We start from the raw sequence: 27,623 nt of genomic DNA on the forward strand, positions 1-27,623 counted from the left end.
AGCCTGGCCAATATGGTGAAACCCCATCTCTACTAAAAATACAAAAATTAGCCAGGCATGGTGGCACACACCTGTAGTCCCAGCTAACTGGGAGGCTGAGGCAGAAGAATTTCTTGAATCTGGGAGGCAGAGGTTGCAGTGAGCTGATATTGCGCCACTGCACTCCAGCCTGGGCAACAGAATGAGATTCCGTCTCAAAAAAAAAAGAAAAACTCCTGGCATGGCCTTTTGAGATTTGGGCCCTCGCCAGCCTCATTCCCTCAAGAAATTGGGAAAGGGCCAATCTGGGAGCCCAGGCCAAACCCAGATCTCTGAGGAAATCCTCCCTGAATACCACTGCAGGTGACCCTCCCCCCAGCCCCCCACACACAAATGGGAGCTGTGCGATGGGAGGGACTCCTTTATATCTGTATATATAAGATGCTGTCTTTGACACAGAGTGCACACACATGTCAGGCATGATTACCACTTTCTGGGACAGTTCATCTATGTTGTGAAGTAGGTGATGCAATGATTATCCACCCCGTTTTTCAGATGGGAAAATGGAGGCTATTTCCTATCAGAACAGAAAAAGGGGACTCCAGATCCCCATGCTGAGTCTAAAGGACACTTGTGCTATCTCTAGCTTGTTCTCTCAAGTTTCTTATGCCCAAGAGCTTGGTCTTCACTCCTGGTTCAGAGCCCTCTGCAAGGGCACAATAGGTGGGAGTTATTGGGGTGTGGTTTTGGTCTTGGGGCTGGGCTGTGCTCAGGGAGGGAAGGGACCTCAAGGGTTCAGAAGTCCCCTCCACCTAGCAGGCAGCGATAGAAAGGCAAATGTTTATTTGGTGAGAGGATTTGCCCAGAAAAGGGGAAACAGCTGTGCAGATCCCTGAGAAAGGGAGATGGAGGAGGGGAGAGGATGGGCCCCGGGCGCCATCATGCTGGCATGCCTGCTCCACCCTAAGTGCTTAGGGAGTCTTGTGAAGCCACCCTCCCTCCTGGTTTCACAGACGAAAGCAGCTTCAGAAGCTCACAGAAGGCACTCACTTGCCCCAGGGCACACACAAGATGTAAGCAGAGCAGCTATCCCAGCCTTCCCAGGAGTATCCCATCCCCCCTTACCTCCCATCTTAGTCCCAGAGCCCCCAGGCGGGTGGGGCTGGGCAGCCTCACTTCTGCTGTGAGCGTCCTCTTCCCACTCCGGGATCAGGCCACGTGATGAGGAGGAAACATGGGCTGAGTGTCTACAATGCCCAGGCTTTGTGCCAGGTGCTGATGTCCGTGGCCACATCTGTCCCCATTGTAACTCACCATCAGAGTCTTAGTTGCAGCCATGGGACAATTAGTATGCTCTAGACACTTTTAGATATAATGTCTCCTAAGCCCACCCAACAGGTATTCAGCTCATTTTGTGGGAGAGATGCGGGCATTGGTCAAGCCAGGAGACACCTCTTCCCCAAGAAAAGGCTCTGGTGCTGACATCTCTGCTGAGGAAGCAGGAGCCTGGGCCTGGGCCTGGGAAAGGGGGTGCTGTGGGCTTGCCTCTCAGTTTCTGACTCGGGACCCCCTCTGCCCTGGAAAGTTCAGGGGGATGGGGCAGAGGTGTCTCATCTCCCTTCCCCCCAGCAAGAGAAGCTATAACTTTCTTCCTGGATGTGCTAAAGGGAAGTGGATCAGGCAGGAAGGCAGTTTAAAATCCCAGGCTGCCAGCCAGTTTTAAAAGTTGTTTAGCTTTGGCCAGGGTGGGGCAGGAATTCCAGCCTGCAGGAGTTCCGAGCAGCCACGTGCTGCCAGCTCACATGGTTAGAGAGCTACATGAGGCTGGCGTAAGCACAGAGAGCCAGTTGGGGGAACAGTAGTGTCTGGAGGGAAGGGGGAAGAATCTTCATCCACTCCATTGTCTGAATTGTTCACCCGGTAACTTTTGCCATGACAATTTTACAAATTAAGGTTTTCTTTTAAAATTGAGGAATAATTGACATTTCATCAAGGGCACAGATCTTCAGCATGGAGCGTAGACCCAAGGGACCACCACAAAGCTCAAGATGTAGGACATCTCCATCAATTCAGGAGGCTCCCTCCGGGTTACCCCCACTCCAGAGGTAACTACTATTTTGACCTCTGTCACAGTAATTTAGTTTTATCTGTTCATGAGCTTCCTATAAATGAAATTATACAGTCAGTACTCTTTTGTCTGGCTTCTTTCACCCAGCACAATGATTTTGAGATTCATTATTTTGTCCTGTGTAGCAGGAGTTTGTTTCTTCTTCATTGCTGCATACTATTCCACTGTATGAATATACCCCTACTCTCTTTCTTCTTTTTTTTTTTTTTTTTTTGAGGTGGAGTTTTGCTCTTGTTGCCCAGGCTGGAGTGCAATGGCACGATCTCAGTCCACTGCAACCTCCGCCTTCCAGGTTCAAGCAATTCTCCTGCCTCAGCCTCCCAATTAGCTGGGATTCCAGGCCCCTGCCACCACACCCAGCTAATTTTTTTTTTTTTTTTGAGACGGAGTCTCACACTGTCGCCTGGGCTGGAGTGCAATGGCATGATCTCGGCTCACTGCAACCTCCAACTCCCGGATTCAAGCAATTCTCCTGCCTCAGCCTCCCAAGTACCTGAGATTATAGGCGCCCACCACCACACCCAGCTAATTTTTTGTATTTTTAGTAGAGATGGGGTTTCACAATGTTGGCCAGGCTGGTCTCGAACTCCTGACCTCATGATCCACTCACCTTGGCCTCCCAAAGTGTTGGGATTACGGGCGTGAGTTACCACGCGCTCTCTTTCTCTTATCTTTTAAAAAATATTTATTTATGGCCAGGCACGGTGGCTCACGCCTATAATCCCAGCATTTTGGGAGGCCAAGGCAGGCAGATCACCTAAAGTCAGGAGTTCGTGCCAGCCTGACCAACATGGTGATCCCTGTCTCTACTAAAATCAAATTAGCCGTGTGTGGTGGCGCACTTGTAATCCCAGCTACTTGGGAGGCTAAGACAGGAGATCACTTGAACCTGGAGGTGGAGGTGCAGTGAGCCGAGATCGCAGCATTGCACTCCAGCCTGGGCAACAAGAGTGAAACTCCTTCTCAAAAAAAAATATATATATATATATATATATATTATTTATTTACTTATTTTTATTTCTTTCAAGATAAGGTCTGGCTCTATTGCTTAGGCTGGAGTGTGGTGGCGTGATCTCAGCTCACTGCAACCTCCACCTTCCAGGCTCAAGCGATCCTCCCACTTCAGCCTCCCCAGTAGCTGGGACTATCAGTGCATGCCACCACAGCTAATATTTTTTGTGTTTTTTTTTTTTATAGAGATGAGGTTTCACCATGTTGCCCAGGCTGAATTTTTTTTTCTTTTTTCTTTTTTTCTTTTTTTTTTGAGACAGGGTCTCATTTTGTTGCTGAGGCTGGAGTGCGGTGGCACAAACGTGGCTCACTGCAGGCTTGACGTTCTGGGCTCAAGTGATCCTCCCATCTTGGCCTCCCGAGTAGCTGGGACCACAGGTACGTGCCACCACACTCAGCTAATTTTTCTTTTCCTTTTTTTTTTTTTTGTAGAGACAGGATCTTGCCGTGTTGTCCAGGCTGGACTTGAATTCCTGAGCTCAAGCAATCCTCCTGCCTTGGCCTCCCAAAGTGCTGGGATTACAGGCATGAGCCACTGCTCCTGGCTTGTTTCAAAATTAAAAAGAAAAACTTACATGCAGTAAAATTAAGTTTTCCCTTTTTTATTATATGTGCTGCCAAAGTTAGTGCTAAAATTTCCCCTTTTGAGTGTACAGTTCTGTGAGTTTGGGGAAATATATACAGTTGTGTAACCCCCACCACAGTTGTGATATAGAACATAATCATCCTATCCTCGATGGATTATTTGGGCCTGTTACAAACTGCTGGAAACATACCCAGGAGTGGAGTGCTGGGTTACCGTGTGTACATTTAACTTTAGTATTTTCCACATAGTTGTCCAAGGTCCTTGCACCACGTTACCTTCCCACCCACAGCGTCCCAGAGTTCTAGTGTTCCACATTCTCATCAAAATTGGTAAATGTTGCTGGGCGCGGTGGCTCACGCCTGTAATCCCAGCACTTTGGGAGGCCGAGGCGGGCAGATCACTTGATGCCAGGAATTCAAGACCAGCCTGGCCAACATGGTGAAACCCCATCTCTACTAAAAATACAAAAATTAGCCTGATGTGGTGGCGCACGCCTGTAGTCCTAGCTACTCAGGAGGCTGAGGCTCAAGAATCCCTTGAACCCAGGAGGGGAAGTTTGCAGTGAGCCGAGATTGCTCCACTGCACTCCAGCCTGGGCGACACAGTGAGACTCTGTCTCCAAACAAAACAAAAACAAAAACAAAAGGCCAGGCACGGTGGCTCACGCCTGTAATCCCAGCACTTTGGGAGGCCTAGGTGGGCAGGTCACCAGGTCAGGAGATCAAGACCATCCTGGCTAACACGGTGAAACCCCACCTCTACTAAAAAGACAAAAAAATAAATAGCTAGGCCTGGTGGTGGGCGCCTGTAGTCCCAGCTACTCGGGAGGCTGAGGCAGGAGAATGGCGTGAACCCAGGAGGCAGAGCTTGCAGTGAGCCGAGATCACGCCACTGCACTCTAGCCTGGGACACAGAGCGAGACTCTGTCTCAAAAAAAAAAAAAAAAAAGGTAAATGTTAATTTCACTCCCTTAACCAGAAAATGTGATTGCTGTATCTAGCAAAGAGATCTGTTAGCTGTCAAGTGCTGAACCCACATACCGGGATGTGGTGGTGGCAGGCATTTGGGTGTCGCAGACTCAGCCTGTTTTCCGACTCTCCTATGTTGAAAGATGAGGCTATATTAGTCTTAGTCTTGATTTGTTCTCAAGTCAGATTCTTCAAAAATCAAAGCGCCTCTTTGGAGTTCATTAGCTGTATGTTAATTGCCTTGAGTCCTTCTGCTGACAACAGCCCACAACCATCTAGAAAACATGATTTCTACAAAGTCTTGATCCTGGAATGGAGCACACAGCCCCTTCTCCCCAGGCCATGATACTGCTGGTGGTGCAGAACGGAGTTTAGACAAGGAGGTGCATGGCCGAGAGCAATCTGGAAACGATCAGAGAGGCCAGTTGCGTAATGATGGAGAAGCCGCTGTTTTGCAGCCACGAAAATCATGCCTGGAGAGAGAATGTTCCGGGATGTGAAATTATTCACAATCTATTGTTCAAAGAAGACAGTTGATTATGGGACGGAAGGTAAGAAGCGTTCCCACCCTCCCCACACAGGAGGAGTCTGTGTGGGTGCCAAGGGGCGCAGCGAGGGTTGCCTTGGCCCCACCCAGCGCTTACTGGCACGCAGAACCCTGGGAGGACTGCCAGGCTCTGAGTCAGCGGGGCCTGGGGCAGCAGGAAGGGAGGGGCCTCACGTGGCTGGGCCTCCTCTGCCTCGTGGGGCCTCCTGGCTCTCAGCCCTGCAGGCAGTGCGGCTGTTTGAAAGGACAAATCACACATGGCCTGGTCCTCCTGGGGCCCAGCCAAGACTATGTTCCTGAAGGATGGCTGAGGGGAGGGTGCCTCCTGGGTCGGGATTGGGAGCACTGGGGAAGGAGGTCATCCAAGCATAGGGCGGGGAGGGAGCTCTCAGGGTTGGGTCATGGAGGATGAGCAGGGATGGGTTTGCAGGGATGCTATGGCCTTCCAGAGCTCCAGGAGAAGAGAGCTAAGCCAGCCCTTGGGATGACTACAAGAGGACCGGGGGAGACAGGGAAACACAAGGGGAGTAGAAGGCTTCAGTAGAAGATTTCAGTAGAGGCTGAAATCTACTGATATGTACACCTCCAAGGACACATGTGTCACATCAGAATAGTTGCTGAATCCCACTGGGCCTCTATTTCCTCATGTGTAAAATGGGAATAATAAAGCTCCTACTTCACAGGGCTGTGGATTAGATCAAATGAGCTGATGTGTGCAAAGCACTCAGAACAGGGCCTGCTGATCGGGTGCAGTGGCTCATGCCTGGCATCCCAGTGCTTTGGGAGGCCAAGCTGAGAAGACCACTTAAAGCCAGGAGTTGGAGACCAGCCTGGGCAACATAGGAAGATTCTGTTTCAAAAAAGAACAAGGGCGGCCGGGCGTGGGGGCTCACGCCTGTAATCCCAGCTCTTTGGGAGGCCGAGGCGGGCGGATCACGAGGTCAGGAGATCGGGACCATCCTGGCTAACGCAGTGAAACGCCGTCTCTACTAAAAATACAAAAAAATTAGCCGGGCGTGGTGGTGGGCGCCTGTAGTCCCAGCTACTCAGGAGGCTGAGGCAGGAGAATGGCGTGAACCCAGGAGGCAGAGCTTGCAGTGAGCCAAGATCGTCCCACTGCACTCCAGCCTGGGCGACAGAGCAAGACTCTGTCTCAAAAAAAAAAAAAAAAAAAGAACAAGGACATCCACAGCAAGTGCCATACAAGAGGCTGCTATGGCCATTATTGCTTAGAGCCAATGTAGGGATTGACAGGAGATCAGAAAGGTTAAAAGGACATGCCTGAAAACATTTAATTAAAGGAGCCAGTCTGAAGGTTTCCTTTTCTTTCTGCACATGGACAAGATTCTAGGTGATGGGTCACAGGAGAAAAGCCCAGCTTGGCAGGTCGCAGTGGCTCCCACCGGTAACAGGGAGGCCAAAACGGGTGGATTGCTTGAGCCCAGGGGTTGGTGACCAGCCTGGGCAACAAAGCAACACCCTGTCTGTACAAAGAAATGATTTAAAAATTAGCTGGGTGTAGCACGTGCCTGTAATTCCAGCTACTTGGGAGGCTGAAGTGGGAGGATCACTGGAGCCCAGGAGTTCAGGCTGCTGAGCTAGGATTGCACCACTTTGCTTGCTCCAGCCTGGGCAATAGAGCAAGACCCTGTCTGTAACAAAATAAGCAAAGCCCAGCTGTGGTGTGTAGGAAGCAGCAGCCTATGCAGCAGTACAGGTAGCAGTTAGGAAGCTGCCAATGGAGGTTTGGTGGAGACAGAAGATGGGAGAGCTGTCTGAGTGCCCAATGGGAGGCTCCCAACACAGAGTGCTGCTGTGTCTGAGAGGGTCCAGGGAGGTAGAAGAAAGGAAGAGACAGACATTGCCCGACTTTGGCCTCCTTTATTCTAGGGCAGCCATAATCCACCGAATTTCAGTCCACCTTGATTTGCAGAAAAGCATATTCCCTTTTCTTCTTAGTTTCCTGCTTTGATCTTTGAGAAATGACTAAACACTCTTATCAGAGAGGCATTAAAAAATCCACTGCTGGCTGGGCACAGTGGCTCACGCCTATAATCCCAGCACTTTGGGAGGCCAAGGCGGACAGATCCCTTTAGTTCAGGAGTTTGAGACCAGCTGAGCAACACGGTGAAACCCCGTCTCTACAAAAAATACAAAAATTAGCCAGACGTAATGGCACGTGCCTGTGGTCCCAGCTACTCTGCTCTGAAGGCTGAGGTGCAAAGTTGGCTCAAGCCCAGGAAACAGAGGTTGCAGTGAGCCAAAATCACGCCATTGCACTCCAGCGTGGGCGACAGAGCAAGACCCTGTCTCAAAAAAAAAAAAAAAAAAAAAAAATTCCCACTGCCTGGGGCTAGCAGATTCTACCTAATTGCTCTCCCCACATCCAGAAGTAGGTGGTTGCTGGTCTAGCTTGAAGTCTCAGTTTCTGTAAAGATCATCAATGTGGCTGGGTATGGTGGTAAGTGCCTCTAGTCCCAGCTACTAGACAAAGTGAGGTAGGAGGATAGCTTGAGCCCAGGAGTTCAAAGCCGTAGGGCGCTATCATCATGATCATCATGTTTGTGAATAGCCACTACACTCCACCCTGGGCAACATAACAAGACTCCATCGCAAAAATAAATAAATAAATAAATAAATAAATAAATAAATAAATAAATAAATCACATCAATGAGTTTCCAGCTGGGCACCAGTGGAGCTCCAAAAGGCAAGCCCTGGCTGGGCGTGGTGGCTCACCTGTAATCCCAGCACTTTGGGAGGCCAAGGCTGGAGGATTACTTGAGGTCAGGAGTTTGAGACCAGCCTGGGCAACATAGCGAGACTTTGTCTCTGTAAATTTTTTTTTTTTTGAGACAGAGTCTCGGTCTGTCGCCCAGGCTGGAGTGCAGTGGCGCAATCTCGGCTCACTGCAAGCTCCGCCTCCCAGGTTCACACCATTCTTCTGCCTCAGCCTCCCAAGTAGCTGGGACTACAGGCGCCCGCCACCGCGCCCGGCTAAGTTTTTGTATTTTTAGTAGAGACGGGGTTTCACCGTGTTCTCGACCTCCTGACCTTGTAATCCGCCCGCCTCGGCCTCCCAAAGAGCTGGGATTACAGGCGTGAGCCACCGCGCCCGGCAAAATTTTTTTAAAACTAGCCAGGTGTTGTGGGGTGCAACTGTAGTCCCAGCTATTCAGGAGACTGAGGCAGGAATATTGCTTGAGTCCAGGAAGTTGAGGTTGCAGTGAGCCGGGACTGCGCCATTGCACTCCAGCCTAGGGGTCAGAAAGAGACCCTGCCTCAAAAAACAAACAAAAAGGCAAGCCAGGCTGCCTCTATTGTGGGGGCAGGCCCCACCCTATGTGAATAGAAAGTGGAAGGCAGGCGGGTGGGAAGGTGGGAAAGGGGCCAATGTGAGGAGGCAGGGAGTGGCTGTGGGCAACCCCCCAACTTGGAGGACCACTGAGAAAAGCAGGGTTGGGGGGTGTGGCGATGGGCGCCTCTGCCCACAGTCAGAGGGAGGGTAAGGGAAAGAACGAGGGAGACGTGGCCCCTCTAGGTAGGTGGGCTGGGTCACAAATCCAGCCACCTGTTGCCTTCAAGCTCCTCTAGGTTTTTTGTTTGTTTGTTTGTTTGTTTTTTTGGTAGTGCTTTATCTTTCTTCCTTTTCATTTTCTCTGGCACACACAAACACACAATCCCACATCTGCAGCCACTGGGTGCCCAGCTCTGCCACAAGCCCTGGGCTAACTCCTGTAAAAGCCTCACACATGGCTGGGCACAGTGGCTCATGCCTGTAATCCCAGCGATTTGGGGGGCCAAGGCGAGTGGATCACTTGAGGTCAGGAGTTCGAGACCAGCCTGGCCAACATGGTGAAACCCCATCTATACTAAAATTATAAAAATTAGCTGGGTGTGGTGGCAGGTGCCTGTAATCCCAGCTACTCAGGAGGCTAAGGCAGGAGAATTGCTTGAACCGGGGAGGCAGAGGTTGCAGTGAACCAAGATCACGCCATTGCACTCCAGCTTGGGTGACAGAGCAAGACTATCTAAAAAATAAAATAAAAAGCCTCACACACATGAACATGCACACACATGGCCGCAGCACACTCAGACTCTTCTGTTTCGTCTTCAGGGCAGGTCTGGCAACCACAGGATGTCCTGCTGGTCCCCCCTCACCTCTGAGCTGCCCCACCTGTTTTTTCTGGTGCTGATCAAGTCCTCTCTGATACCTTCCCCTGTCTGCCGCTGGATTAACGGTGGTCAACATTTATTGATGTATAGAGTGCCTACTAGGTGCCAGGCTCTACCCTGTCCACTTCACATGCTGCCTCACTTAGGAGGGCGTTAAGTTGCATGTAACAGAAACCCCACTCAGCGGTTTAACCACATAAATGTCTGTACACCTCACTCAACAAGTAGACTCTGCAGCATCTCTGGGGCCGAGGCTCCTTCCTGCCTCACTGTTCTCAGCACACAGCTTTTGGCCCTGGGGTCACAAAAAGTCAGAGAATGGCACTGAGTCTGCCCCCCTTATTTGGAAAACAATGACTTTCCTGAGGCCTCACCCAGGTGGCTCCTACAGTGCCCCACCGGCTGGGGAGGATGCAGATGCATTTCTGATTGGACTCATGTCCTCTAAATAAAGGAGGGCCAGGGGACCCTGAGTCTGGGAAGGCTGGCTTCTTTTCACCCTTTGTATTTGCTCTGATCTAGTCCTTATATCCAGAATGCCCTTCCTGCCATCTGCAGCTACTGAACTCCTACCTCTCCAGAAAGCCCAGTTCAGATGCTCCCTCCTCCACACAGTCTTGCCAGATTGCTCCTCCAGAGTCCTCCCCACTTCTGAATCTGTTGGCCATCTTGACTCCTACTTGCCTTGGCCATTGCACCTGTCTGCACAGAGCCTGATGGGAACTCTAAGCACCCAGAGGATTTTCCCAGCAGAATGAGTGGATGAGCACACAAATGAATGGTGTGTTCTCACTTTTAGGCCATCTCCATCCTTTGCGATCTTGTTCAAGTCCTCCCTCCACGTACAGTCCTCCCCCGACCTCTCTTACTTCCATGGTGGCTGCTCCAGGGAGCAGAGCTCATGTCCCCGGTGCCTTCCACTTGGCACCATGCTGTGAGACACTGGCCACATCAGGGAGCATCTCTGAGCCCACTTAGTTATCTGTTAAATGAAAGGCTATGCTCTAAATTTCTTCTCATGCTAAAAACCTCAACCCTGCCAGAATTCAAGCCTTGGGGCAGGGGAAGGATTCTATCACATTCCTTTTTTTTTTTTTTTTTTTGAGACGAGTCTCGCTCTGTCACCCAGGCTGGAGGGCAGTGGCGCGATCTCGGCTCACTGCAAGCTCCTCCTCCCGGGTTCACACCATTCTCCTGCCTCAGCCTTTCCGAGTAGCTGGGACTACAGGCGCCCGCCACCACGCCCGGCTAATTTTTTGTATTTTTAGTAGAGACGGGGTTTCACCGTGGTCTCGATCTCCTGACCTCGTGATCCACCCTCCTCGGCCTCCCAAAGTGCTGGGATTACAAGCGTGAGCCACTGCGCCCGGCTATCCCATTCTTATCTTCCAGTTTAAAGGCAGACTTCAAAGTAAAATCGTTTTAGTGGAATTGTCACAGCCATTGTTAAGGTTTTAATTGAATTTAGTATATAGAAAAGTGCATATATCTTAAGTGTCCAGCTTGGTTAATACTTACAAAGAGAATATACTCATGTAATCACCACCCAGATCAAGACTTGGAATGTGACCATCTCCTAAAGCTCCATGCCTCTCCAGTCATTGCCTCCCTGGGATAACCACCATTCTGACTTGTAACAGTGCAGCATGGCTTGCCTAGATTTGGACCTTTTATGTTAATGGAGTCACATGGCATGTACACTTCTGTGACTGGCTTCTTTCACTGAACATTGTGTCTGTGAGAGTCACTCATGTTGTGTATCAGTAGTTGTTCTTTTCCATTGCCCTATACTATTCCACTGTACGAGTATACCACAATTTATCCATCATTCCATAACTGATGGATATTTGGGTAGTTTCCAGTTTGGGACAATTAAGAGTAAAGATACTGGCCAGGGGCGGTGGCTCATGCCTGTAATCCCAGCACTTTGGGAGGCCAAGGCGGGCAGGAGTTCATGAGGCCAGGAGTTCGAGACCAGCCTGGCCAACATGGCGAAACCCCGTCTCTAATGAAAATACAAAAATTAGACAGACGTGGTGGCAGGTGCCTGTAACCCCAGCTACTCGGGAGGCTAAGGCAGGAGAATCGCTTGAATCCAGGAGGCAAAGGTTGCAGTGAGCCGAGATCGTGCCACTGCACTCCAGCCTGGGTGACAAGAGCAAGACTCCATCTCAAAAAAAAAAAAAAAAAAAAAAAAAGAGCAAAGATACTATGAATATTCTATTTGTGTCTTTTGGTGAACAACAGCCCTTATTTCACTCAGGTACACATCAAGAGTGGCGCTGCTGGGTCATGGAGCAGTGAGGTCAGCATGAGTAGCCACTGCTGGGCTTGCTGTTTTAGATGATGTCTGAGCTAGCAGGCATAGACATTCCCAATGTACCCAGAACAGACTCTCAGAAGCATGGGTTGGACCCAGGAGAGCCCAGTGGCCAAGGAAAAGGGATCTCCCAGGGCACACCCACAAGCAGCCTCCAGCAAAACCATCAAGCAAAACCCCCACTCCCAGTAGGCTGAGGAAGCCCTCCATGCTGTCACCTCCATCTGGGTCTCCCACTGTCCTCTGGGAGTAGTAGCTCAAGCCAGCCTCCCACAGCTGTCTCCTCCACACACCTCACATGAGGCCAGCCCTCTAGTGGTCAGAAACTTGGTGTTGACTCACTGCCTGAGGAGTGGACAGAGGCTGGGAAACTGTGTTCCAGATGCCAGGTGGCCCCCAGCAACCAGAGCCCTCTCCTTGCTAGCTCTCTGCTGTAATCAGCTGGCAGACACCAGCCCTGGCTGAGAGCAATAGGGACTGGGGACCAGGAGCTGTGCCAACATCACTCCCCAGCCTCGTAGCTGAGGCCCCACAGTCTCTGGGCTTGCCGCAACACCTGCACACACATTTACGTGTTGTCACATGCTTTGGCCAGGCCCTGGCCACCTGCAGCTTCCCTTCAGTCACCTCCTAACCTATCCTGGGTCCTATGGCTTAAGGGGCCCAGAGTGCACTTTCTCAGGGGGTGCTGGCTCTAGGATCCCTGCCTGGGCCACCCTACCCTGTTCTCCTTTCTTGTCACCAAAGAGCGTGTTCAAGCCGGCTCCAGTCCTGTGTTGTGCATGGCCCTGGGGAGTGGAGATGGAAGCCATCAGCACTATTGGTGAGACCTGATTCACAGGGGTGCAAAGGCCGCAGCTGAATGCCAACGGGCAGCCTGAGCAGGAAGGCTTCCTCCCATTTTGTCTGAGTATATATCTACAAGGTCAATTAAAAGGACAGGAAAGGCCAGGCGTGGAGACTCACGCCTGTAATCCTAGCAATTTGTGGGGGAGAAGCGGGAGGATCACTTGAGCCCAGAGTTCAAGACCAGCCTGGGCAATACAGTGAGACGCTAACTCTACAAAAAAATTTAAAGTAGCTGGATGTGTTGCCTGCCTATAGTCCCAGCTACTTGGGGGGCTGAGGTAGGAGCATTGCTGATGGGAGCGGGCAGCGAGGCTGCAAAAAAAAAAAAAAAAAAAAAAAAAGCCGGGAAAGGGAATTCTAGGCTGGGGGAACAGTCAGTGGGGGAGGCTCCGAGGCACATTTGGGGGACAAGGCTGAAGCCATTCACATGCCAAGAGGTAAAGGAGGTGCAGCTTCATGGTCGCGGTGGGGGTGGTAGTGGTGGTGGTGGCTGGAGGAACACATGCAAGTCAGGCAGTGAGGCCCAGGCAGGCCTTGTGGGGCCCCCAAACACCAATGGGCCAAGCCTCCAAGTTGGGGCTTTTACGTAAGGCTCTATAGGGGTTAGCGCCAGAGTGCCCCTTTCAGGTTTAAGGTATAAACCTCTTCCCTGTTGTTTTGATGGCCTCCAGTCAAGAAGGGGGCTTGCTGGTCAGCCCTACTAAGCGTTCGCCCTGGGCGACACTCTACAAGGTTTTACTGGGGCCCAATGAAATTGACAGATCTGCCAGGGACACACACTGAGAGTCCAGAAGCAGCGTTCGAATCGTTCTGCGCCGAACCGAGTGACAGCATTAAACCGCTGCAGGAACCCACAAATTCAGAATCTGCGCAAAATACACATATTTGTATTTAAAATCCGCGCAAAATACCCATGTGCCTAAATACACATATTTCCCTCCAAAGTCATAATTTCCGGGGGTACAGCCCAGGAATGTACATTTGAACTGGTGCCCCAGTGATTCTCACGCATGTTGGCTAGATAAGAACTCAGCCGCAGCCCGTAGCTGCGCGGCCCGGCCTAGGTCCACCCGCCGCCCGTCCCGGAGCCTCCTAAGGCCGCAGGCGACGCGCCCCGCCCTCCGGGGACAACTAGGCCCCGGCCTTTTCCGCAGACTCCGCGCTCCGAGCCGCGGCGCCCCCTCGCGGCCGCCGGGGTCGGCAGCCTGGGGCTCCGCTGATCTAGGGCAACGAGCGGGGGACGCTTCGAGCCCGCAGCGAGAGTGACCAGCATGGTCCCTGCCGGCAGCTCGGGGCCGGAGGGTTTTGACTGCAAGGCCAGCCCACGCCGAGGGTCCAAGCATCGGGATATGCCGCCAGCACCTGGCTGCTGCAGCACCGCGCTGGACATGAGCGCTCCGCCCAACCCGACGGCGTCAGCTGGCGCGCGCGCCCGCGACCGACGTGCGCAGGCGCCCACGGGCCGCGCAGCCGCCATTGCTCTCCTGCCACGGAGGGGAGCGCTTGGTGGCAGTCCGCGGGCCCGGACGGAAGGCTGAGGCGACGCCTCGACGACAGCGGACCGGAGCTGCAGGGGCAACACATTCAGGGCGGGGTGCCCCATTTAGGCCTGGCTGACCGGAGTAAGAAACTACAACCCCCGAAGTGCCTTGCGCCTCAAGGTTACGGAGGCAGTGACGTAAGCTGTCTTGACCGCTACCATTTCTCTAGTAGAGGCGGGACGCGGCGGCGCGGAGTGATGACGCGCTCTGCTGGCGGCTGGAGGGTTGCGGAGGTCAGCAATTGGGTGCTGGGCTCCGGTTCTCGAAGTGCCTTTGCGAACCTGCTATTTTACCAGTTTAAACTGACGGTCTGTTTAGCCTTAGCTACAGATACCCACTGACTGTGTACCCGCCGCCTTTCAACCCCCGGGCCGGCCACTGAGCCAGCCAGATAACCATTACTATTATTTAGTTTCTATTTTGAAACAGTTTCAGGTAACTCCTGTATGCACTTGGATGAGATTCACAAGTTGTAACCTCATTTGCCCCATTTACCTTATTATTTCCTCTGTTTTTCTCTCTGCCTTTTTTCTTCCCTGGACCAAGTGAGTTAGTTGCAGATATGAAATCCTGTTTCCTCTATATTTAGAGGCCCATCCGTGTTTATTTTCTAAAAACAAGGACGAGCTCCTGCATTCAAAATCGGGTAACATTGGTCAAGACTTTTTCTGACCCATAGTCCATATTGAAATGTTTTTAAAGTTTTTATTAGTGTCCTAATAATGCCCTTTATGGAAATTATCCTTTTGTTTTTCTTTCTTTTTTTTTGAGACAAGAGTTTCCCTCTGTCGCCCAGGCTGAAGTGCAGTGGTGCGATCTCGGCTCACTGCAGCCTCCCCTCCCGGGTTCAAGCGATTCTGTGGCTTCAGCCTCTCAAGTAGCTGGGGTTACAACCATGCGCCACCATGCCCGGCTAATTTATTTTTAGTAGAGATGAGGTTTCACCATGTTGGCAGGCTGGTCTGGAACTCCTGACCTCAAGTGATCCGCCCACCTAGACCTCCCAAGGTGCTGGGATTACAGGCGTGAGTCACCACACCTGGCCCAAATTACCCTTTTCTTGGTCCAGGACCCGATCCAGGAGTACACGTCGCATTCAGCTATCTGGTCTCTTCAGTCTCCTTCGGTCTGGAGCAGCTCCTCAGGTTTTCCATGACCGCATGACCTTGACGCTTTTGAAGATACCTGTTGTTTTGTAGAACTAGGTTTAGGGTGGTCTGAGATTTTTTTTGTTTGTTTGTTTGTTTTTCTTTTTTCTTTTTTTTTTTTTTTAGTTTATGCCTATTCTGCTTATGTATGTCTGAGATTTTTTATCACTGGATTCTGTTATGTGATGTTGTTCAGATGCTGTTATTCAAAGTGTTCAGCCTCACTGGCCTCTGGATACACTCCCAGACACTGCCAGGTCAGCCCCTTCCTGTGGTCGCCTCTCCTGCTGGGGTTCACTCTCACCTTACCAATGTCTCTGGCTTCCCTGTAGCACCCACCCTGGAGCCATGGTCCACGCCTTCCTCATTCACACCTTGAGGGCCCCGAATACTGAGGACACGGGCCTTTGCCGAGTGCTGTACTCCTGCGTCTTCGGTGCTGAGAAGTCACCTGATGACCCACGGCCGCATGGTGCCGAGAGGGACAGGCTTCTCCGGAAGGAACAGATTTTAGCTGTGGCCAGGTAACCACACAGCCCAGCCCCAGGCCTTCATTGAACACGTACCTGATTGTAATAGGTATTTTCGGGGAGTGGGGACGCAGAGAAATAGGAGGACTAAGAAGCAGAGAGGAAGTTTTAGAGTAGCATTTCCCAGAGAGTCTTCCACAGCTTTTCATAAGTGTTACGTGAAAAGGGTTAAATAAATAATAATTCTGTTATCATTATTAGTATAATTAGCATTTGTTCAGCCTGTAAGTGCTAAGCATTTATATTCTGAACATCTTATATATATTAACTCATTTAATCCTCATAATAGTCTTTTGAGGTAGGTATAGTTATTATCTCCACCTTATAGATGAGTAAACTGAGGTATAGAGTGTTTGAGGAATTTAACCTGTCCAAGGTTACATAGCTAGAAAGTAGCAGAACTAAGATTTGAGAGTAGGCAGGCAGACAGTACAGATTAAACATGCTTTTCAGTGCAGTACTTAACAGGGCCTTTAGTGTGCCTGTAGACTTTATGAATTTCTAACGAAGAGAGAGGATGTGGTACATGAGGACTCCAGAAAGCCAGGGATCCAGATCACAGTTTGGAATATACTGTTCCAGACTAGGGTGGCTAGCCTTGGCTCTTCCCCTCTCAGACCCAGCCAGAACTGGTAGGTGCTGGAGCCTCCTGGACCTCCGCATTCTGGGTGGGGTAGCACCACTCTGGGGCAACCTTCTGCCAACTCCTGCCTTTCCCTTGTTCTTCTTATTCTCCTTCCCCTCCCTGTAGCTCAGAAAACCAAATACATGCCTTTAAAACCAGCCTGTGCGTGGCTCAGACTGGAAGGTGATTCAGGAAAGATCAAAGGGAGCTTCTAAGAAGCCTTGTTGGTCCAATGGAAGGTCTTTCTTTCATATTTGGAGAGGGTTGCAGGATAGGGTGGAGATTGGACTGCCCACGTTGGGTGATGGCGTTTATTTTCTGCCTCATCCCTTTCCTTTTTTTGAGATGGAGTCTTGCTCTGTCGCCCAGGCTGGAGTGCAGTGGCGCAATCTTGGCTCACTGCAACCTCCGCCTCCTGGGTTCATGCCATTCTCCTGCCTCAGCCTCCCGAGTAGCTGGGACTACAGGCGCCCGCCACCACGCCTGGCTAATTTTTTTAAATATTTTTAGTAGAGACGGGGTTTCACTATGTTAGCCAGGATGGTCTCGATCTCCTGACCTCGTGATCCGCCCGCCTCGGCCTCCCAAAGTGCTGGGATTACAGGCTTGAGCCACCGCGCCTGGCCAAGCCGCTTCCCTTTCCTTTATGTGGAGAAGGCCTCTGTGAAGCAGGTGAGGGCAGGATCTTCTTCCTCTGGTGCCCTTTTTCAGCCCAAGGAGCTGGGTTGAAAACCTGCCCTCTTGGCCACATGGAATAAAGTGGTTCAGGACCTGGAGGCTCACACTTCCTGATTCTGTGGCCCTGGGCAGATCACTTAGTCTCTCTAGGCCTCAGTTTTCTCACTTGAGATATGGGGATGATGGTAGCTCCCAGCACCAGGGTTGATCATGAGGATGACAGAGTTGGTGTGTGAGCCCACCAGCCTGACCTGCCCACTCTCCCCAGGCAGGTAGAGTCAATGTGTCGGCTGCAGCAGCAGGCATCTGGCCGGCCCCCCATGGACCTGCAGCCGCAATCCTCAGATGAGCAAGTGCCGCTGCACGAGGCCCCACGTGGGGCTTTCCGCCTGGCAGCAGAGAACCCTTTCCAGGAGCCACGGACGGTGGTGTGGCTGGGCGTGCTCTCGTTAGGCTTTGCCCTGGTGCTGGATGCCCATGAGAACCTGCTACTGGCTGAGGGCACGCTCCGGCTGCTGACACGCCTCCTCCTTGACCACCTCCGGCTGCTGGCGCCCAGCACCAGCCTTCTGCTGCGGGCTGACCGCATTGAGGGCATCCTCACCCGCTTCCTGCCACATGGTCAGCTGCTTTTCCTCAACGACCAGTTTGTCCAAGGCCTGGAGAAGGAATTCAGTGCCGCTTGGCCCCGCTGATTCCTCGTTGGGATGGTGCTTCTGAGGGCAGGCAGAGGGTAGACACACAGCCAGATGAAGCTTGGCATCTCCCTCCTACCCAGCAGCTCTGATGTGCTGCTATACCAGGACAAGTGGGTGACACAAGCCTGCAGAAAGGGGGCTGGGCAGAGGGTGGAGGAGGTCCTGCCTGTCCTCAGGTTAGTGGAACCACAGAACTTCCTGAGCCTAGAGCTGCTGTGTTACTTAGACCGCTGCCGTGCGGCAGCCACGCTTGTCCTTGAACCCACCTTCCTCCATCCCTGCCAGCCGATAGTGCTAGGGTGAGGAGCTGCCTGGAGCTCACCCCGCTCTTCTTCCAAACCCACAGTCAAGGCCAGGCGCGGTGGCTCACGCCTGTAATCCCAGCACTTTGCGGGGCTGAGGTGGTTGGACCACCTCAGGTCGGGAGTTCAAGACCAGCCTGGCCAACATAGTGAAACCCCATCTCTACTAAAAATACAAAAATTAGCTGGGTGTATGGCGCCCACCTGTAATCCTAGCTGCTCAGGGGGCTGAGTCATGGGAATCACTTGAACCTGGGAGGCAGAGTTTGCAGTGAGCCGAGAGTGCGCCACTTCACTCCAGCCTGGGCAACAGAGTGAGACTCCATCTCAAAAAAAAAAAAAAAATCCCACAGTCATCGAAACACAAAAGGGGTCTCAGACTCCCCTGAGGGTGGAGGAGCTGTGCCTGCATGCTGGCAGGCCACAGCCCCTGGCTTTGTGCCCACTTAGGCAGTATTATCAACAAGGTCCTGCTCAGTGTCCAGCCCCCGCTGAGTTCAGAAATGCATCTGCCAATCAGCAGCAGGATTCTGCAGCTCCTTTTGTGCCAAGCCCGTTCCCACCAGGCAGGCTCGAGATAAAGTCATCACAGCCTTCCCTCATCTGCAGGGAGAGAAGTTGCTGTCAGATGAATGTGAGCAGTCTAGCCTGGATGACATATTTTTCGTTTTGAATTAAAAGCACTGGCTGTGTGATTTTACCCTCTTTCTGTGAGTTTGATGCGTGCATCCTGCTCCTATGAGTGAGTGCCTCTCTGGATGGCCCCAAAGCTGCGTGTCTGAGCTTTCGTGGTCAAGGATCCCCCTAGGAGGCTTCTTGGGATGCCTCCATCTCTCATCCCCACCTCACCTCTGTCTCCTTAGAGGCCTCCTTTGGATGGTGGCACACATTTCTCCACCAAAGTATATGTCACAGGTGGCAGGTGGCTGTGGCAGAGCCGTCTGAGAAGCAGTGCTTGGGCTGAGAATTGGTGCGAGTGGTTTATGTGGGGTGGGCGGTGATCCCGGGAAGCAGGAAGGGGACACAGTCCTCGTGAATGCTTGTCAAGCCTATTAGGACTGTGGTAGGGAGCTGAGTGCCTCTAGGGGGCTGCACACAGCAGTTGCCTCTGAATTACCTCACCTGAGAGGTGGCGGCTGTGGGTGTTTGCCTACTGCCTTTAGTCAGTGGTTACAGGTTGATCCCAGGGTGCATACATTCCCTGGCTCTTTCTGCCCCTGAGAAAAAGCCTTCAGGCAATGTGGAGCTGGGCCTGCCTGCACCATGTTGAGTCCCAAAGGGATATGGGTGGGGTACCAAAAGTCGGTGGTTAGGAGGTCTTCAATCAGCAGCTTCTAGTGAAGGTTTAAACTTACTCAGTTGGGGGCGGGGGGTGGGGGAAAAACCACTTCAGTTTACATTGATTTTCATGATCTTCCTGTTACCAAGGAAGGTGAGGCTTTCTTGGCAGAACGAGCCTCCTAGGTGCTCAGCTCTCATGCTTGCCATCCATCAGTTGCCCTTTAGCATCCAGGATGGACCCAACTACACCCACTTTGGAGGCAGCACTGATGATTAGCCCTTCCAAGTCCATGGCCAAGGCCACCAGCCATGCCAGGCCTTCTACCACCACTGTCAACATAATTGGGATGAGGCCACCTTTTCCATTTTATGGTGCCACAAACCACCTTGACCATGAAGACCTAAAGGGATGTTACTCTGTGTGTGTGGCCAAGTCCCACCAGTGGAAATGTCCCACAGGCCTCTAGTAGGGACACCCCTTCCCTATACATTCTGTTCTCCTGGCCCACCCCTCACCCCAGGCTGGCGGTCCTGGTGGATTGGCTGTGTTCTCAGGGAACAGGCCATTTTGTCCTCTATGGAAAGGCTCAAGCTTACTGATCTGAATTCTTTCTGCCTTTTTTTCAAACGGAACTTAAGGAAGAGGTTGAGACTCTGCTCCCCTGGGAGCTGTGGGAAGTTGAGGTTAGGCGTGGCTGGTGGCCTGGTTCTCATGAGGTGGGGCAAACTGATGGACAAGAGAATAGTAGAGACTGAGACCACACCGTGGGGCTGCTGAGCTCCAGTTCCTGTCCAGCTGGACCAGGGTTTTCTTAACCAGATGAGCTTGCCCAGCACCCTTCCCACACTTCACACTTCTGCCCCAGCCTCTTGGGCTGGGTTTCCACCACAATTTATGCTCACCATATATTTATCGAGCCTCCCTTGGGCCTGATGCTCTGCTGGGTGCAATGCAGGATACAGAATGACCCCAAAGTTCCAGGAGAGACAGAGCTAAGGCCAGGTGACTGCAGATGACTGCAAAGCAGCAATGGTTTGAGCATCCCTGAATTGCTGCTCACAAGTGCTTTAAACACCTAAAGGAAGAAGGGGCACTTCAGTGACGAAGGCCAAGTGAAGGAGCCAGGATTTAGAACTAAAAGTGAGATGGCTATGGAAGCAAACTTGCCTCCCTCTCCAAGCCTCTTCCCTTTCTTCTCCCTGCCCCAGGAACCCTGGCCAAACCACATATCCCTCAGCTTCTTGAGAGAACTAGAGACTTTGAGCAGCTAGTAGTGTTACCAGTGTACCTCCACAAACACTCCTGGGACAACAGATGATGACAGGAGGGCAGTAGAGCCCAGAGAAGAGAGCTTACCTGGAAGGAGGAAGAAGTCACAGGTTTTGTTTTGTTTTGTTTTAGGCGGAGTTTCTCTTTGTTGCCCAGGCTGGAGTGCAGTGGCGCAATCTCGGCTCATTGCAAGCTCCGCCTCCCAGATTCACGCCATTCTGTCTCAGCCTCCCAAGTAGCTGGGACTACAGGTGCCTGCCACCACGTCCGGTTAAGTTTTTCTATTTTTAGTAGAGACGGGGTTTCACCGTGTTAGCCAGGTTGGTCTACATCTCCTGACCTTGTGATCCGCCCGCCGTGGCCTCTCAAAGTACCGGGATTATAGGCGTGAGCCACCACGACTGACTGGCATGAAGTCACAGGTTTTAAGGCAGGAACTGGCCTGCATGTATGTGGGTCACTGATTGGGTCACATACACTGCATGTATGTGAGCCCTGGGATGGGATTGGATCATCTTGTCTCCTTTAGGGCAGGGTGTTTTTTTCTAGCCCTGTGGTGCTGCGCACTGTCCAGCATCCCCCCAGGGCTCAATGTTTTCTTTTCTTTTTCTTTTTTTTTTTTTTTTGAGATGGAGTCTCACTCTGTTGCTCAGGCTGGAGTGCAGTGGTGCAATCTTGGCTCACTGCAACCTCTGCCTCCTGGGTTCAAGCAATTCTACCGCCTCAGCCTCCCAAGTAGCTGGGATTACAAGCATGTGCCACCATGCCTGGCTAATTTTTGTATCTTTAGTAGAGACAGGGTTTCACCGTGTTGGCCAGGCTGGTCTCGAACTCCTTACCTCAGGTGATCCACCCATATTGGCCTCCCAAAGTGCTGAGATTACAGGTGTGAGCCACCATGCCTGGCCTCAATCTTTTCTTTTAAACAATTATTCCTATATTTTATTGTAATGCAGTTAACCGTGTTTGTCAGATTCAATACTCTGTGACCCGTTAACCAAGTCTCTGTATGTTTATTACTGCAATTCAAGTGGCCGTGACCGTTTTCTTAAATATACTTTATTTGTTTAGTGCAATTTTAGGTTCACAGTAAAACTGAGCAGAGGGTACAGAGAGTTCTCATTTACTCCCTGTCCCCACACATGCACAGCCTCCCTTATCACCAACACTGGGCACCAGAGTGGTCATTTGTTACAACTGATGGACCTTCATTGACACGTCACTATCACCAGAGTCCATAGTTTACATTAGGGTTCACTCTTGGGGTGGTACATTCTATAGGTTTGGATGTATTTTCAGTGACATGCATCTACCATTATAGTATCATACAGAAGAGTTTCCCTGCCCGAACAGTCCTCTGCTGCACCTGTTCATTCTTCCCTCCCCTCAACCCCTAGCAACCATTGATCCTTTTACTGCTTCCATAGTTTTGCCTTTTCCAGAATGTTGTGTAGTTAGATTCATACTGTATATGTAGCCTTTTCAGATTGACTTCCTTCACTTAGTAATGTACATTTAAGATTCCTTCAAGTCTTTTCATGGCTGAATCATGAGCTTGACAGCTCATTTTGGAAGTACTGCTGAATAGTATTCCATTATGTGGATGTACATTATCTGTTCACCTACTGAAGGACATCTTGGTTGCTTCCAAGTTTTGGCAATTATGAATACAACTGCTACAAACATTTGTGTACAGGTTTTTGTGTGAACATAAGTTTTCAACTCCTTTGGGAGTATAAATACTCATAAATACCAAGGAATATGAGTCCTGGATTCTGTGGTAAGAGTATGTTTCATTTTGTAAGAAACTGCCAAACTGTCTTCAAAAGTGGCTGTACCATTTTGCATTCCTGTTGGCAGTTAATGAGGGTTTCTGTTGCTCTACATCCTCTGAAACATTTGGTTTCGTCACTGTTTTGGTTTTGGCCCATTCTTTTTTTTTTTTTTTTTCCTGAGACGGAGTGTCCTTTGTCATCCAGACTGGAGTGCAGTGGCACTATCTCGCCTCACTGCAACCTTGACTGCCCAGGTTCAAGCAATTCTCCTGCCTCAGCTTCCCGAGTAGCTGGGATTACAGGCGTGTGCCACCACGCCTGGCTGATTTTTTTTTTTTTTTTTCTGAGACAGAGTCTCGCTCTGTCATCCAGGCTGGAGTGCAGTGGCACAATCTCCACTCACTGCGACCTCCGCCTCCCGGGTTCAAACCATTCTTCTGCCTCAGCCTCCTGAATAGCTGGGACTACAGGCACACGCCACCGCGCCTGGCTGATTTTTGTATTTTTAGAAGAGAGAGGGTTTCACCATATTGGCCAGGCTGGTCTCAAACTCCTGACCTGAAGTCATCTGCCTGCTTCAGCCTCCCAGAGTGCTGGGATTACAGGCATGAGCCTCTGCACCCGGCTGGCTTTTGGCCATTCTAATAGGTATGTAGTGAAATCTTGTTTTAATTTGCAGTTCCCTAATAACATGACGTAGAGTATCTTTCCTATGCTTACTTGCCATCTGTAAATCTTTAGTGAGGTGTCTGTTCAAGTCTTTTGCCCATTTTAAAACAGGCAACTTGTTTGGGTGATTTCTTTTTGTTGAGTTTTAAGAGTTCTTTGTGTATTTTGGATAACAGCTCTTTATCAGATATACCTTTTGCAAATATTTTCTCCCAGTCTGTGGCTTGTCTTCTCATTCTCTTGACAGTGTCTTTCACAAAGCAGAGCTTTTTAAATTTAATGAAGTCCAGTTTCATATAATTTAATGAAGTGGGCCGGGCGAGGTGGCTCATGAGGCCTGTAATCCCAGCACTTTGGGAGGCCAAGGCAGGAGGATTGCTTGAGCCCAGGAGTTCGAAACCAGCCTGTACAACATAGAGACTTCATCTCTACAAAAAAATATAAAAATTGGCTGAGTGTGGTGCACACCTGTGGTCCCAGCTACTTGGGAGGCTGAGGTCGAAGGATTGCTTAAGCCCAGGAGGTCAAGGCTGCACTGACCTGTGACTGTGCCACTGCACTCCAGCCTGGGTGACAGAGCAAGACTTTGTTTCCAAAAAAAAAAAAAAAAAATTAATGAAGTTTGTCAATTTTTTTTTTTTTTTTTTTTGAGACGGAGTTTCTCTCTTGTTGCCCAGGTTGGAGTGCAATGGTGCAATCTCGGCTCGCCACAACCTCGCCTCCCGGGTTCAAGCAATTCCCCTGCCTCAGCCTCCTGAGTAGCTGGGATTACAGGCATGTGCCACCACCCTTGGCTAATTTTGTATTTTTCGTAGAGACAGGGTTTCTCCATGTTGGTTAGGCTGGTCTCGAACTCCCGACCTCAGGTGATCCACCCGCCTCGGCCTCCCAAAGTGCTGGGATTACAGGCGTGAGCCACCATGCCCAGCTCTTTGTCAATTTTTTAAATGGATCCTGCCTTTACTGTTGTATTTAAAAAGTCATCACCAATCCAATATCATCTAGATTTTCTCCTATGTTATCTACTAGAAGTTTTACAGTTTTGCATTTTACATTTAGGTCTATGATCCATTTTGAGTTCATTTTTGTGAAGGGTGTAAGGTCTATGTGTAGATTCATGTTTTTGCATGTGGATGTTCAGTTGTTCCAACATAATCTCTTGAAAAGAGTCTTTCTATCTTTGTTCCATTGTATTGCTTTTACTCCTTTGTCAGAGACCAGTTGACTGTATTAATGTGGGTCTCTCCTGGGTTCTTTATTCTGTTCCATTAATCTGTTTGTCTATTCTTTTGCCAATACTACACTATTTTTTTTTTTTTTTTTTTTTGAGATGGAGTCTCACTCTTACCCAGCCTGGAGTGTAATGGTGCAATCTTGGCTCACTGCAACCTCCACCTTCCAGGTTCAAGCCACCCTCCCGCCTTAGCCTCCCTAGTAGCTGGGACTATAGGCATGCACCACCATGCCTGGCTAATTTTTCTATTTTTGTTAGAGATGGGATTTCACCGTGTTGGCCAGGCTGGTCTCAAACTCCTGACCTCTGGTAATCTGCCCACCTCAGCCTCACAAAATGCTGGGATTATAGGCATGAGCCACTGTGCCTGGCCACCACACTATCTTTTTTCAAGGTTTTTTTTTTTTTTTTTTTTTTTTTTCTGAGAGAGAGTCTCACTCTGTCGCCCAGGCTGGAGTGCAGTGGCGCAATCTCGGCTCACTGCAAGCTCCGCCTCCCAGCTTTACGCCATTCTCCCGCCTCAGGCTCCTGAGTAGCTGGGACTACAGGCGCCCGCCACCACACCTGGCTAATTTTGTTTTTGTATTTTTAGCAGAGACGGGGTTTCACCGTATTAGCCAGGATGGTCTTGATCTCCTGACCTTGTGATCTGCCCGCCTCGGCCTCCCAAAGTGCTGGGATTACAGGCGTGAGCCACTGCACCTGGCCCACTATCTTGATTACTGTAACTTTATAGTAAGTCTTGAAGTCAGGCAGTGTCAATCTTTAACTTTTTTCTTCATATATATATATCTATATATATATGTGTGTGTGTGGTGTGTGTGTGTGTGTGTGTATATATATATATATTTTTTTTTTTTTTTTTTTTTGGAGACAAGGTCTTTACTCTGTCACCCAGGCTACAGTACAGTAGTGTGATCACAGCTCACTGCAGCCTGGACCTCCCTGGCTAAGTGATCTTCCCACCACAGGCATGCACCACCACACCCAGCTAAATTTTAAATATTTAGTAGAGACAGGGTCTTGCTATGTTGTCCAAGCTGGCCTTCAACTCCTGAGCTCAAGCAATCCTCCCACCTTGGCCTTCCAAAGTGGGTAATGTGGTTTTAATATCAGATTGCACTTGGCTGGGCACAGTGGCTCATGCCTATAATCCCAGCACTTTGGGAGGCCAAGGTGGGTAGATCATCTGAGGTCAGGAATCCGAGACCAGCCTGGCCAACATGGCAGAAACCGTGTCTCTACTAAAAATACAAAAATTAGCCAGGAGTGGTGGTACATGCCTATAATCCCAGCTACTTGGGAGGCTGAGGCAGGAGAATCATTTGAACCTGGGAGGTGGAGGTCCAGTGAGCTGAGATCATGCCACTGCACTTCAGCCTGGGTGACAGAGTGAAACTGTCTCAAAAAAAAAAAAAAAAAAAAGCTGGGCGTAGTGGCTTACTCCTGTAATCCCAGCACTTTGAGAGGCTGAGGCGGGCGGATCACAAGGTGAGGAGATCGAGACCATCCTGGTTAACACAGTGAAACCCCGTGTCTACTAAAAATACAAAAAAATTAGCTGGGTGTGGTGGTGAGCGCCTGTAGTCCCAGCTACTCGGGAGGCTGAGGCAGGAGAATGGCATGAACCCGGGAGGCGGAGCTTGCGGTGAGCCGAGATCGCGCCACTGTACTCCAGCCTGGGCAACAGAGTGAAACTCTGTCTCAAAAAAAAAAAAAACAAAAAAAAACAAAAAAAAAACATTGCACTTGCTGATTGCTTGTATAAGTGAAAGCAATTGACTTTTTTTTCTTTTTTGAGACAGGGTCTCACTCTGTTGCCCAAGCTGGAGTGCAGTGGCGCAGTCTTGGCTCACTGCAGCCTGTGCCTTCTGGGCTCAAGTGATCCCCCCACCTCAGCCTCCCAAGTAGCTGAGATTACAGATGTGCACCACTATGCCCAGCTAAATTTTTGTGTTTTTAGTAGAGACGAGGTTTCACTATGTTGGCCAGTCTGGTCTCAAAATCCTGATCTCAAGTGATCCACCCACCTTGGCCTCCCAAAGTGCTGGGATTACAGGCGTGAGCCATCGTGCCTGGGCACCATTTTTTTCCTTTTTTTTGAGACGGAGTCTCGCTCTGTTGCCCAGGCTGGAGTGCAGTGCCACCATCTCAGCTCACTGCAACCTCCACCTCCCGGGTTCAAGCGATTCTCCTGCCTCAGCCTCCCGAGTAGCTGGTACTACAGGTGCGCACCACCATGCCCAGCTAATTTTTGTATTTTTAATAGACACGGGGTTTCACCATGTTGGCCAGGATGGTCTCAATCTCTTGACCCAGTGATCCACCCACCTCAGCCTCCCAAAATGCTGGGATTACAGGTGTGAATCACCACACCCGGCTGAGTTTTTCTTTTTTTAATAGAGATAAGGTCTTCCTACAGGGAGGTTGCCAAGGCTAATCTCAAACTCCTGGACTCAATAGATCCGCCTGCCTTGACCTCTCAAAGTGCAGGAATTACAGGCATGAGCCACTTCGTCCAGCTTAGCAATTGACTTTTGTATATTAATGTTGTGTCTTGCAATCTTGCTGTAATGCTTATTCGTTCCAAGAGTTTTTGTTGGTTTGTTTTTGTTGATTCTTTCAGATTTTCTACATTAGCTAGGACTTTTGGTACAACATTGAAAATGAGTTGTTAGGACATTATTGCCTTGTTCCTGACCTTAGTGGGAAAGCTTCCAGTTTCTCACCATTAAGTATGATTTTTGTAAATGTTCTTTATCAACTTGTGAAGTTCTCTTATTTCCTAGTTTGTTGAGAGTTTTTATTGTAAATGGTGGTTGGACTTTGCCACATGCTTTTTCTGCTTTTATTGGTATGATAATGCAATTTTACATCGTTAGCCTGTCAATGTAATTGATTATCTTAATTGATTTTCAAATGTTGAACTAGCCTCACATACCTGGAATAAATCCCGCTTGGTCATTTTGAGTAATTATTTTTATACATTACTGGATTTGATTTGCTACTATTTTGTTGAGGAGTTTTGCATCTATGTTCACAAGAGATACTGGTCTGTAGTTTCCTTGCTTCCTTCCTTCCTTCCTTCCTTCCTTCCTTCCTTCCTTCGTTCCTTCCTTCCTTCTTTCCTTCGTTCCTTCCTTCCTTCCCTCCGTCCCTCCTTCCCTCCCTCTGTCAGGAGTCCAAGACAAGGCTGGCCAACATGGCAGAAACCACGTCTCTACTAAAAATACAAAAATAAGCCAGGAATGGTGGTACACGCCTGTAATCCCAGCTACTTAGGCGCAGTCTCGGCTCACTGCAATCTCCA

At 50.1% G+C, this 27,623-nt stretch overlaps 1 protein-coding gene and 1 long non-coding RNA gene across 4 annotated transcripts, besides 10 other annotated features; both read left to right on the forward strand.

The window, feature by feature from the left end:
* Positions 634–1,225: an enhancer, noted in NCBI's record as "NANOG-H3K27ac-H3K4me1 hESC enhancer chr20:3787799-3788390 (GRCh37/hg19 assembly coordinates)". NCBI's record gives its function as "activates a minimal SCP1, AML or CMV promoter by ChIP-STARR-seq in naive H9 embryonic stem cells {active_cell/tissue: H9 hESC(naive)}" and the evidence as "EXISTENCE:reporter gene assay evidence [ECO:0000049][PMID:30033119]".
* Positions 1,226–1,816: an enhancer, noted in NCBI's record as "NANOG-H3K27ac-H3K4me1 hESC enhancer chr20:3788391-3788981 (GRCh37/hg19 assembly coordinates)". NCBI's record gives its function as "activates a minimal SCP1, AML or CMV promoter by ChIP-STARR-seq in primed H9 embryonic stem cells {active_cell/tissue: H9 hESC(primed)}" and the evidence as "EXISTENCE:reporter gene assay evidence [ECO:0000049][PMID:30033119]".
* On the forward strand, positions 1,976–5,916 carry LINC01730 (long intergenic non-protein coding RNA 1730). The gene is made up of 4 exons (NR_109859.1): positions 1,976–2,084; positions 3,379–3,496; positions 5,012–5,223; positions 5,650–5,916. It is a non-coding gene; the product is annotated as a long intergenic non-protein coding RNA 1730 (long non-coding RNA).
* Positions 4,631–5,830: an enhancer, noted in NCBI's record as "P300/CBP strongly-dependent group 1 enhancer chr20:3791796-3792995 (GRCh37/hg19 assembly coordinates)". NCBI's record gives its function as "activates an origin of replication core promoter dependent on BRD2, BRD4, P300/CBP, MED14 and CDK7 cofactors, with strong dependence on P300/CBP, by STARR-seq in HCT116 cells {active_cell/tissue: HCT116}" and the evidence as "EXISTENCE:reporter gene assay evidence [ECO:0000049][PMID:35650434]".
* Positions 4,631–5,998: a biological region, named in NCBI's record as "P300/CBP strongly-dependent group 1 enhancer GRCh37_chr20:3791796-3792995".
* Positions 4,939–5,998: an enhancer, noted in NCBI's record as "nonconserved acetylation island sequence 110". NCBI's record gives its function as "activates a minimal heat-shock promoter by reporter assays in Jurkat T cells {active_cell/tissue: Jurkat}" and the evidence as "EXISTENCE:reporter gene assay evidence [ECO:0000049][PMID:17135569]".
* Positions 5,401–5,950: an enhancer, noted in NCBI's record as "H3K27ac-H3K4me1 hESC enhancer chr20:3792566-3793115 (GRCh37/hg19 assembly coordinates)". NCBI's record gives its function as "activates a minimal SCP1, AML or CMV promoter by ChIP-STARR-seq in naive H9 embryonic stem cells {active_cell/tissue: H9 hESC(naive)}" and the evidence as "EXISTENCE:reporter gene assay evidence [ECO:0000049][PMID:30033119]".
* Positions 13,553–13,832: a silencer, noted in NCBI's record as "silent region_12631". NCBI's record gives its function as "represses an Ori minimal core promoter by ATAC-STARR-seq in GM12878 lymphoblastoid cells {active_cell/tissue: GM12878}" and the evidence as "EXISTENCE:reporter gene assay evidence [ECO:0000049][PMID:35858748]".
* Positions 13,829–14,532: an enhancer, noted in NCBI's record as "H3K27ac hESC enhancer chr20:3800994-3801697 (GRCh37/hg19 assembly coordinates)". NCBI's record gives its function as "activates a minimal SCP1, AML or CMV promoter by ChIP-STARR-seq in primed H9 embryonic stem cells {active_cell/tissue: H9 hESC(primed)}" and the evidence as "EXISTENCE:reporter gene assay evidence [ECO:0000049][PMID:30033119]".
* AP5S1 (adaptor related protein complex 5 subunit sigma 1) lies at positions 14,029–22,320 on the forward strand. 3 transcript variants are annotated; one of them, NM_001204446.2, is made up of 3 exons: positions 14,029–14,336; positions 15,584–15,775; positions 17,353–22,320. In NM_001204446.2, exons 2-3 carry the CDS (start codon positions 15,600–15,602, stop codon positions 17,777–17,779), a joined length of 603 nt encoding a protein of 200 aa, NP_001191375.1. In that variant the 5' UTR covers positions 14,029–14,336; positions 15,584–15,599; the 3' UTR covers positions 17,780–22,320. The 3 variants fall into 3 exon arrangements, with proteins under 3 accessions (NP_001191375.1, NP_060817.1, NP_001191376.1); NM_018347.3 differs by having other exon boundaries at positions 14,029–14,240; NM_001204447.2 differs by having other exon boundaries at positions 14,029–14,184.
* Positions 14,073–14,412: an enhancer, noted in NCBI's record as "active region_17486". NCBI's record gives its function as "activates an Ori minimal core promoter by ATAC-STARR-seq in GM12878 lymphoblastoid cells {active_cell/tissue: GM12878}" and the evidence as "EXISTENCE:reporter gene assay evidence [ECO:0000049][PMID:35858748]".
* Positions 24,458–24,958: an enhancer, noted in NCBI's record as "H3K27ac hESC enhancer chr20:3811623-3812123 (GRCh37/hg19 assembly coordinates)". NCBI's record gives its function as "activates a minimal SCP1, AML or CMV promoter by ChIP-STARR-seq in naive H9 embryonic stem cells {active_cell/tissue: H9 hESC(naive)}" and the evidence as "EXISTENCE:reporter gene assay evidence [ECO:0000049][PMID:30033119]".

This window comes from Homo sapiens, chromosome 20, assembly GCF_000001405.40.
Source record: "Homo sapiens chromosome 20, GRCh38.p14 Primary Assembly".
Lineage (NCBI taxonomy): Eukaryota > Metazoa > Chordata > Mammalia > Primates > Hominidae > Homo > Homo sapiens.

Coding starts and splice junctions, on each gene's coding strand:
- AP5S1 (NM_001204446.2), top strand. CDS start 15,600: ATGGTCCACGCCTTCCTCATTCACACCTTGAGGGCCCCGAATACTGAG. Junction 15,776..17,352: donor CAGATTTTAGCTGTGGCCAG/GTAACCACACAG, acceptor CACTCTCCCCAG/GCAGGTAGAGTCAATGTGTC.